This window comes from Homo sapiens, chromosome 5 (assembly GCF_000001405.40).
Source record: "Homo sapiens chromosome 5, GRCh38.p14 Primary Assembly".
Lineage (NCBI taxonomy): Eukaryota > Metazoa > Chordata > Mammalia > Primates > Hominidae > Homo > Homo sapiens.
Genome location: NC_000005.10, coordinates 118,617,984 through 118,629,628, shown reverse-complemented (window position 1 = coordinate 118,629,628; position 11,645 = coordinate 118,617,984). Strand labels below are relative to the sequence as shown.

Sequence of the window (11,645 nt, the reverse complement as noted above, 5' to 3'; positions counted from 1 at the left end):
AATGTGGAAGCTTTAGAAGTGACAGAGATAAGGGTGGCCTGAGACCCATGCTTCTAGGGCTTTCTCCTTTCCTCTGGGCCTCTGGTTTCTGAGATTGTCCCTGTTTTCCAGGTGTGCCATTTGATCCTCACTCTATGGCTGGTGAATTCCTGATGGATTCTATCAGCCTCACCCACCTCCAGCTTCATCGTTGCTGGCTCTTGCCCTCTGCCTGAGGTCTGATTGTGGCTCCTTTCAGTCTCCAGGCTGAGTAACTTACTTTCTAGCCCAGAGTCACAGGGTCATATTACTCCATCAAGACAAAACCTCAGGTAGGCTCCAGAGATAGACTATCCTTGACCCCCACTCTCCAACCCCACAGTTTGTGAGACTATCCAAGCTCTTTGATGCCACACAGGAGCCCAGGGTGGCTGGGGTTCCTCACTCACACAAAGCTGTCACTCTCCATCTAGAGCAGCAGGTTGCAGTGTGGGCTCATGTGTTTTACAAAGCAGTCTGCTCTCTTAGTCACAAACGGGAATGTGGCCACAGCTCCTCTCTCCTTTGTGTTTTCTCTTAAACCTAATTAACAAAAATATTCTCTCTGATTTGAGTCTGGAGAATGCGGTCAGGAAGGCCTGGCCTCACTGCCTCCTTTCTTTGCTTCCTTCCCCCTATTTTCCAAATCCAAAGGGGCTGGAAGGAAATAGCCTTTTCACCTCCCCCTCTCCTTGTTTGATGGGATATTCTCCATATCACATTCTCTTCCCTAATAAGGTCATCTTTCCTGTTCCCCTTTCCCTGGAGCAAAGGGGGAAATGAAAATCTATTAATTATTCCAGTGATACTAGTGATCAAAGACTTGGCCACTTATATAAGCCATCACAATCCTCGAGGAAAAGGCAGAACAACTATAAACCGCTACAAAAACTTACATAGTACAGCCTGTTCTAAATCTTATAAAATCATTTTAATGCACTTCTTAGCTTGGCATATGTAAAGAATTCCACAGTATCACAAATATTACTTTAGCATATAAAATAAAGCTCAATTGTGTCATAAATTGGGCCTCTTTAAAACTAATATGCTTACATAATAAGCTTTCATTAAATATTTAATTCGCTAAAGTTTAGTCTGCTTTTTAGAATGTGGTTAAGTCTCCTATGGGCAGGATAGTAATTAATCCATAGTTTATTAACAACGTGTTCCTAAAAATGTTACTTAACACTCTGTACCTCAGATGCCCTGTTTGTAAAATGAGAGTATTTGCAATACCTACATCATAGAGTTATTGTGGGAATTAGATTAGGTAGCACCAGGCACGTAGTAGATACTGTGTGAACAGTTGCAACATTCATTATGATTTGAGTGGGCTGGGTCCTATGTCTTACTCATGCTTTTCTTTCACTGTTGCAAACATTGGTGTTAAAAATTATTTCTTTGATCATTATTCTTTGTATTATTTGTTGTTATATACCATTGCAGCAGCTGAACATTTGAGGTCACCTTTGATATCTGTAGTTGTGAGGATTTAGAAAACAGAAGTACCTTGACTTTGTGTAGCAGGTTTATTTTCATTCCTTCATTGTTTTTTAGATGTCCCAGGTCCTTTCAACTCAGGTATGCCATGGTTCTTTCTGCCTCTTTCTTTGTCTCTCTTGAAATTCTTTGAGCACTAAATAATTCAGGTATTACAATAATTGTAGTTATTTTTGAGTCCGTTTATACACAGAATTCTTCCACATGGCAGAAGATATGATGTCAGAGTACCTGCTAAGCATCGCCACACCCACAATGGTTCTATCAAAGAGGAGAAAAATGAAAACAGATCAAGAAGACACACTGGCATTAGCGATGGCTGAGGAAGAAAGGAACATTAAATAGCCTTGTTTAAATATACATTTCTGGGATTACTAGTGAGGTGGGTTTTACATGAGCTATTCAAAAAGATTAAAATCCTGTTTGTCATATTTTTAGCAAACATTTGATCTTATCAGTTGTCTTTTGACTTTAGATATGAAAAAGTTTTGAAATTTTACATCATCAAATCTGTTGACTACACGTTTTGAGAATTATGTTGCTTTTAATGCTGGAGTTTTTTTTCCCTCTGTAGAGATTTGGCAAAGAACGACTTATATTGTTTTTGAGTCTTAAAGTTTGACTTTTTAAAGCATTTAACTCTTATCTCCTTTGAGCTTATACTGTTTATTGTTTGAGATATGTGTAATAGCTAAACTTTTATTTTTTCTCTTTTCAATCAAAGGAGAAAATTGCTTTAATATAACTTACTGAACTTATTGTACTTCTTTTATCATGTATTAATTTTCTTTATACTTGCACTGTAGAGTAGTTGCTAGCAGTACTTGGTTGTTGAGCATGTGAAATATGGCTAGACCAAACTGAGGTGTGCTGTGAGTTTAAAATACATATGGTAGATTTCAAATACTTAGAACAACAACAAAATGTAACTCATCTCAATAATTTTTGGTATTTATAACATGTTGACATGATAATTTGTCAATATATCAACATGATATATGTTATATAATGATACATAATATACTATATTGATATATATTATATTGATATGTAAATATATATTTTATATATATGATATATGATATGAATATATGATATATTTATATGATATGTAAATAACATAAACATGCTATTTCACTTTTACTTTAAAAATGTTATTATTACAAAATTTTAAATTATATATGGCTCATATTACATTTCTGTTAGGCAACTCTACACATTCGGGTTTGTTTCTATGCTATTGATTCTCAATATTGTTTGCAGATTTAATTATTGTACCCTTATAATATGTTTCTGGATCTGATTGAACTAGTTTCTTCGTTTTTATTCTTTATCAACTTTCTTTTTATTTATATTTGCCTATTTATTCTTCCAGATAATTTAAACATTTTTGCCAAGTTCCAATAAAAGTAAATCCCTCATTTAAATTTTGATCTAAATCACTCAAAATTTATAAATTGATTTGGAAAGAATTGACGTCTTTATAAGACTAAGCCTTTTTTTCCCCAAGAAAATAGAATTTCTTCTTATTTTTTGTCTTCCCTTTTTATATTTTTTGAAAACTCTGTTTTTCATCATGTAAATTATACACATTTGATCTTTCAACTATTTCTAGGTATCATTTTTGTTTGTTTGTTTGTTTTTGTTTTTTTGAGATGGAGTCTCACTCTGTTGCCCAGGGTGGAGTGCAGTGGCATGATCTCGGCTCACTGCAGCCTCTGTCTCCCTAGTTAAAGCAATTCTTCTGCCTCAGCCTCTTGCGTAGCTGGGCCTACAGGCGTGCGCCATCACGCCCGGCTAATTTTTTTGTATTTTTAGTAGAGACGGAGTTTCACCATGTTGGCCAGGATGGTCTTGATCTCCTGACCTCATGATCCACCTGCCTCGGCCTTCCAAAGTGCTGGGATTACAGGAGTGAGCCACTGCGACTGGCCAGGTATCATGTTTTTTACTGCTGTTGTAAATATGAGTTATTATTCCAATATATTTTCTGACTAGTTTTTGGCAGTTTAGGGAGGATGATTTTTTAAAATGTATCTTGTACTAGAGATTTTTACTGAACTTTAAAAAAATTAATTTTAATAGGTTTTCAACTGATTCTGTTGTGTTATTCTCCTTTTCAAATTAAAATGCAAGACCACAGTAAGCTCCAAATAAGCTTCTATAGCTCTCTCCAACATTATTGCTCAAAAAATCTAATTTTTGCAAAAAGAATAGCTAGGTATAACATACTGCTGTTTATTTTAGGTGAAATTTTCTCAGAATTTGACTGTAATATTGGAAATCACAGAGTTAGAATGTTTGTCTTGTATGTCCTTTAGATGCAAGGACTAGGGAAAATGGTGAATGATTCAAAGAGCACAGCTACAAATACATTTGGGACACTATGTGAGTGTGAGAGCATGTGTCTGTGTGTGTAAGACCAGTTGTAAGAAAAAACTGTTGGCTCCTGATAGTTGCCTTTTGATGGGTGTTTGAGGTGGCATTCATTACCCTAGGTAGTTACAAGGTTAGCTGAATATCTTCTCAACTGGGATTACACTTTGAAACCCTCAGCCTTTTTCTCGGATCTCTGAGAGCCTGGGGCTTAAGTTTCATTCTTGCTACATGATTATAGGAATTCAATTTTTATTTGGTCTTAAACATCTTTTCTTTCTGCTCTCTGCCCATATGTTTTTATTAATGCCTTTAAAAAGCCTTCTTTCTTTTCAGGTAACACAAACAATATTTTTATTTTATTTCATTAAAAAGTAGTATGTTTATTTTTAACAAAAATATTTGAACACAAAAATCTCTTAAGTATTACAGTGATTTTAGTTATCTTTGACTCTACTTACATATGGAATTATTCCTAATCACAGAAGTTATGATGTCACTGCATTCTGTAACAGTGACTGCACCAATACCAGGCAAAGTAAGAAAGGAAGGGGCCTGCAGGAGGGATATTCCCTCATTAAAATGAATGTTGTTAATCAACATCATCAAAGAGCAAACCAAATTAATAGAAATCAAGAGGCAGTCCATATTTGTAGATTAACCTCAACACTTGCCTAAAGGGGGAATATAATTATCTCTAATGATGTATTCAAAGGTATCTGTCCACAACAAAATGTTTTCTCTCTAGGTCAACTTACAGCACAAAATACAGGCTCTAGACTTTCGTTGTGCTCTTGTGGGCAGGCACCACCTCCCCTCCTGCCACACCAGAATTTCATCAGGGGACTATCCTGCTGGCTGGCAGAAAACATGAATATAGCATTTGGAAACATGAAATTGCTGTTATGCAAAGTACATGTGCACACACACAAATACACACATTTAATGTGGAATGGAAATCTTTGCTGAAAAATGTCATATTGACATGGGGTGTGTGTGTGTGTGTGTGTGTGTGTGTGTGTGTGTGTGTGTGTGTATGATGGTGAAGCTGTACCTTCTAACCTTTTGGGACTTTTATGTAAATGGAGATTATTTATATGTTGTTGGGATGTGGAATGTGACTCTCTTGCCAAGCACTCCAGTTGTTTAGCTTATTTCCTGGGTAATATAATCAGAAAAGCAAAGACCATAGAATTTAAGGTGTTAAACATCTCTTTAGCCCCGAGTGAGAAATCACTTTAAGTGAGACAAGAATATGTTCATTTGTATTCCAAGCAAAGATGGAAAAAATCTTATAAATTATTAATCCACCAAGTAGCATGTATTATCCTGAGCTATTATCCTGGGTCAGGCTGCATTTCATGCCTGCTCATTTTCTGTTTGGAAGGAAAGCTGCCATGATGCAGAGGACAGACCACCACCCCTCCCCATTCCGAACCCCAACAAATACCAAGACAATAAATTGTAATGAAAGGATAAAATTATTGAAGTTCTTTCTTATCCATATTCTATTCTACCATTAAGTTGTACTGAAACAGTGTAGATTTAGCTTTTCCCCTCAAACCAACACTGAAATAAAAATGTATTTAAGCTGAAAGAAAAACCATCTCATAACAAAGAAAGGAATATATGTGTATATGCATATAAATATATACATACATACATACATACCTGTTTTAAAATAGAGAATGTTTTAACACAGAATATATTACCATAACAGCAAGACTTATGACCTTCCTTGGGTTTGAAGTATGAAATACTAACACAGAAGTGTAAAAATGGAAAGAAAAACATTTATTTGAATGCTAATATATATATTAAATATATATTAAATATATATATTAAAATACATATTTTTACTTATTAAGTACTGTTGCAAAAATAAATATTTGTCAATTAAAATTAAAACGCTTACAGTAAAAATTCTCAAAGCTATTAAAATATATTTAATGTCAAATAGGTAATTAATTTTCTTTTTTTTTATTATACTTTAAATTTTAGGGTACATGTGCACAACGTGCAGGTTAGTTATATATGTTTACATGTGCCATGTTGGTGTGCTGCACCCATCAACTCGTCATTTAACATTAGGTGTATCTCCTAATGCTATCCCTCCCCACTCCCCCACCCTAAAACAGGTCCCGATGTGTGCTGTTCCCCTTCCTGTGTCCATGTGTTCTCATTGTTCAATTCCCACCTATGAGTGAGAACATGCGATGTTTGTTTTTTTTGTCCTTGCGATAGTTTGCTGAGAATGATGGTTTCCAGCTTCATCCATGTCCCTACAAAGGACATGAACTCATCATTTTTTATGGCTGCATAGTATTCCATGGTGTATATGTGCCACATTTTCTTAACCCAGTCTATCATTGTTGGACATTTGGCTTGGTTCCAAGTCTTTGCTATTGTGAATAGTGCCGCAGTAAACATACATGTGCATGTGTCTTTATAGCAGCATGATTTATAATCCTTTGGGTATATACCCAGTAATGGGATTGCTGGGTCAAATGGCATTTCTAGTTCTAGATCCCTGAGGAATCACCACACTGACTTCCACAATGATTGAACTAGTTTACAGTCTCACCAACAGTGTAAAAGTGTTCCCATTTCTCCACATCCTCTCCAGCACCTGTTGTTTCCTGACTTTTTAATGATTGCCATTCTAACTGGTGTGAGATGGTATCTCATTGTGGTTTTGATTTGCATTTCTCTGATGGCCAGGGATGATGAGCATTTTTTCATGTGTCTTTTGGTTGCATAAATGTCTTCTTTTGAGAAGTGTCTGTTCATATCCTTCGCCCACTATTTGATGGGGTTGTTTTTTTCTTGTAAGCTCTCAATAAATTAGGTATTGATGGGAAGTATCTCAAAATAATAAGAGCTATCTATGACAAACCCACAGCCAATATCCAGGGAAAAAACTGGAAGCATTCCCTTTGAAAACTGGCACAAGACAGGGATGCCCTCTCTCACTACTCCTATTCAACATAGTGTTGGAAGTTCTGGCCAGGGCAATCAGGCAGGAGAAGGAAATAAAAGGTATTCAGTTAGGAAAAGAGGAATTCAAATCGTCCGTGTTTGCAGATGACATGATTGTATATTTAGAAAACCCCATCGTCTCAGCCCCAAATTTCCTTAAGCTGATAGGCAACTTCAACAAAGTCTCAGGATACAAAATCAATGTGCAAAAATCACAAGCATTCTTATACGCCAATAACAGACAAACAGCCAAATCATGAGTGAGCTCCCATTCACTGTTGCTTCAAAGAGAATAAAATACCTAGGAATCCAACTTACAAGGGATATGAAGGACCTCTTCAAGGAGAACTACAAACCACTGCTCAATGAAATAAAAGAGGATACAAACAAATGGAAGAACATTCCATGCTCATGGGTAGGAAGAATCAATATCGTGAAAATGGACATACTGCCTAAGGTAATTTATAGATTCAATGCCATCTCCATCAAGCTACAAATGACTTTCTTCACAGAATTGGAAAAAACTACTTTGAAGTTCATATGGAACCAAGAAAGAGCCTGCATTGCCAAGTCAATCCTAAGCCAAAAGATCAAAGCTGGAGGCATCACGCTACCTGACTTCAAACTATACTACAAGGCTACAGTAACCAAAACAGCACGGTACTGGTACCAAAACAGAGATATAGACCAATGGAACAGAACAGAGCCCTCAGAAATAATGCTGCATATCAACAACTATCTGATCTTTGACAAACCTGACAAAAACAAGCAATGGGGAAAGGATTCCCTATTTAATAAATGGTGCTGGGAAAACTGGCTAGCCATATGTAGAAAGCTGAAACTGGATCTCTTCCTTACACCTTATACAAAAATTAATTCAAGATGGATGAAAGACTTAAATGTTAGACCTGAAACCATGAAAACCCTAGAAGAAAACCTAGGCATTACCATTCAGGACATAGGCATGGGCAAGGACTTCATGTCTAAAGCACCAAAAGCAATGGTGTTTTGTTGTCTAAAACAACAAAAGCCAAAATTGACAAATGGGATCTAATTAAACTAAAGAGCTTCTGCACAGCAAAAGAAACTACCATCAGAGTGAACAGGCACCCTACAGAATGGGAGAAAATTTTCACAACCTACTCATCTGACAAAGGGCTAATATCCAGAATCTACAATGAACTCAAACAAATTTAATTTATTTTTTTCTGCCAACTTCTTCATGGCCAGAAGCAGGAGATCCAAAAATCTTGGAAAGTTTTGTAGGTAAATATGAATATATCTTCCAAACAAAGACACGAAAGTGAGGACGTAAGGTTCTGGGATTATTCTTGGCTAGGATTCTTTAGGTATTTCAGGTATGGAGTTTGTGTACTTCAGGTAGTGTCTGTATTTTAAATATATTTTCTATATTTCAGGTTTAGAGTATTTAGCCAACTAGTGTCTGTAGTTAACACTACAGTTAAAAAAAAAGATCTTAATAGTCGAGTGGCTAAAATTCTCTTAAATTCTGTCATATACCAAATTTTCCATAGTGATTGAGTGACTTAGGACATAGTCTAGTGCTAGCATGCTTAATGATTCAGGCTTTTATTGTTAGAGATTCAGGATGTATTCAGAGTGTGGAGAAGGGTTTCTCTGGGAACATAAATGAAGTGGGAGCCAGAATGAATATTTTCTGCTTCAAATGTCTTCTTGAGTGATCCTGCCACTGAAGTTCATTCTGTGAACTCTGATGAGGGCAGCTGTTAGAAAAACATGCTTTTGTTATAGTGTGGTTTTCTTAAAAAGAGAATTGTAATAATAATAGCATTTGGCAGTAAAACTCAATGTGCAGTAAAATATCTTAAAATTGCACTGACTAAAGTTCAGTGGGTATCATGGGTTATGACATTCTTCTCTGAGAGAGAAGGCCAGAATTTCAATGGTGCCAGAAATGAAGACCTACTGAAGTGTTAGGTCATGGGAATGGCCTGGTCCACAGTAGGAAGGGGAACCCCCTGATGGCCAAAAGGGCTTTTGATGTTTGCCTCCTCCAGGCTCTGCCTCACCTCTACTTCTCATCTTAAACTGAGTAACCTTCTAAGTAACCTAATTGGTGGTCCAGCACACTTCTCCTGCTGTTTAGTCCCAATTCTAATGAAAAAGTCTGGATAATTAAGCTCTTTCTTAGTTGCCTCAAGCCTGGCTTCTCTGACAGCTTTGGTCAGCAGGCCAGCTGACCCTGCAGAGCCCTGTACCATCATTCCCTTAGCTCATTGGGGCAGGTTTTCAGCATCCTGAGTCAGGTTTCCTCATTGGGTGCTTTCATTAGCCCCTGTCTGGTGCCAAGCAAACAGTTCTCTTAACACTTGACATGCCCAAATTATTAAAGACCATAAATTACACCCCATAGCGGTCTTACACTTGACTGCCTCTTCCTCTTACTTTGTTCACCCCCTTTGACCCCATTTGAACTGCAGTTCTTCACACTACATTCTTAACGAGGTTATTTACTCTGCATGCCCAATGAGATTGTGCCTTATGTAATAAGGTTTCAGCTCTGAGGTATGTCCAAGAGGGCAGACTTTTCAGCTGCTAAAAGAATTAACATTTTAGCTGAGGATGACCCTTTATTGCTAGATGTGCTTTCATAGCCCAAGTCTGTGACCATTTAAGAATGTCACAGTAACATATGGAGATTTTTACATCTTCACATAGATCAGTTTTGCAAGTCAGAGTAACCAAGGGTGAGTAACAATCTATGCCAGCTGTGTAGTTAAGAATGCCAATTTATTTTTAAAATGGCTCTGTGCAGTCAGCTCGATTGTTTAGGAAAATGGGAGAAAGGAGTGACTATGATAATCAAAGTTCACGTGCAATTTCAAACCTCATTTAAACGAGCTGTTTAACCTGCTCTCTGTCTGCTAGTGGGAAGGAGAAAAAGCAAATGAGTCAGACAGTGGACCCACTAGATACTCAGGATATTGAGATTCTTGGGTGTGAGAGAAAATGTTTCTTAGTTTTATAAATGTTTACTGAGTTGTTTACACTGATTTGATAAGTATATCTGGGACTTGGTGCAGGTAGGTGTTTCAAAAATTTGAATTTACTTCACCCTCAATGGTTCCTGCCTTATTTATATATGTATGCTGGATGCATTTATTCACATTGATAGTCCCTGCATCCCAAATTCTCAGATGCTGCCAGACATTCTCTCTCTCACAGCCCCTTGTTCCCCAACACGCTCCACTTTAGGTTCTGTGCACAAAGGTGTCACTCTTACAACCCTAAACACTACCCTTCTGTCCTCTTCTTGTCTCCTTTTGTCCCCATGTTTTTCACTTGTTATTTCTATGTAGTAGAGGGCTTGGCCCAATGAATAGCATTGAGAAAGGGGGATGACAAATGGCAATAAGAAAATAAAAGCCTTAAAATTTTATGAAGCTGAAGAATTTTTATCTTCAAAAGATACTCCTTAAATGTAGATCAAGTAGTAGTTTTATGTTGCTCTACTTTTGGTGCCACTTGGGGATATAATGATGATTTCAGGCTAAAGGGGGTGTAGAAAATTCAAATAGGGCAGAAACAGAACAATGTCAAACACAGCCTAAGAAAACAGTGATTACACAGTATTGCATCCTCCACTGGGCATGAAACTCTAGTATTCTGCTATGGAGCTCTCATTTAAAATGGAAGAAAAACACAGATCCTTGAGCTCTCTGAGCTTTCACTTGCCCCTTTAACGCTGAAGCAAAATTATAGAATTGAAGCATTGTTAAGAGGAGGGAAGGCCAGGCAGGGCTGGTGGAAGGCAGAAAGGAAGACCTTATCTCAGTGCTGCTATAGGGAAGGGACTGTATTAGAGCGGTTGCAGGTTCCCTGGGATTCTGTTTCCACTTATTCTCCCTAATAAGCGGGTTTTCATGCTAAAATAAGACAATTGTGGTTTCCCTAATTTCTATGGAAAATTATTTAATGGATAGAAATTGAAATTGTCTTAAATATTTGGCTTCTGCTGCTATTTATCTATACTAGAACCTGGAATAATATGGTATATAAATTGACCCTAAAAGACAGCATTTTAATTTCCACAGGTTGCCATTGTGCAGTGCACAGAGAGCGCTCCCTGCCACCATGAGTCCTGTCATCTTGGAAAGCAAGATGTTATAGATGCAAGATCATAAATCTTAGAGTCCTGGATTTATCTTTCCACTCTTCTGCTTACTACCTTGCTTGTGCTCAAGGTAGCTCCCTTACCTCTCTGGATCTCAGTTTTCACTGAGATTCTGCAAATTTGGATAATAAAGCATAGGATTGTTTTGCTGTTAGTTGTAATTATGCATGTTAAAGCACTTGGTCTTTGCTAGGGTATGTGGCATATATATGTGCCCAATATATGTTTTGCCTTTTTCCTTTCTTTACTTTTCTTGAATGAGTAGGAAAAACACAAGTAGAAGACAAACAGCTTTCTAAGCCATTTTGATTTCTCACAAAGTAACCTAAGTCAATGTTTTCAGGCTTTCCTTAAATCTTACCTATAAGCCAAATATAAAACAGGTAAAAGTGGAGCTTGAGTAGGAGCTTGGGCCTTCTACTCTTCAATTTCCCAAGCCTCATTCCTCTTGTGTCCTGAGGGAATGGAACTCCCAATTCCAAGTAAATAGTGACCTCTGGAGCTGTGCACTGAGATATATGCCCTGGCATCTCCATGGGTTATGACATCTCTGTGCCTTCAGTAAATTATTAGAATTACCTTTTCCTCCTAATTTACTGACTTATCTGAGCTATTT

General features: G+C 37.1%; 1 long non-coding RNA gene across 1 annotated transcript in view; it reads right to left on the bottom strand.

Moving 5' to 3' along the window:
* Window positions 1-1,536: 1,536 nt before the first annotated feature.
* The window catches only part of LINC02215 (long intergenic non-protein coding RNA 2215), a 31,905-nt gene continuing 21,796 nt past the window's right edge, over window positions 1,537-11,645 (bottom strand). Inside the window, exon 5 of the long non-coding RNA NR_104998.1 lies at window positions 1,537-1,779. This is a non-coding gene — a long non-coding RNA (long intergenic non-protein coding RNA 2215). The remainder of the gene's footprint in view (window positions 1,780-11,645) is intronic.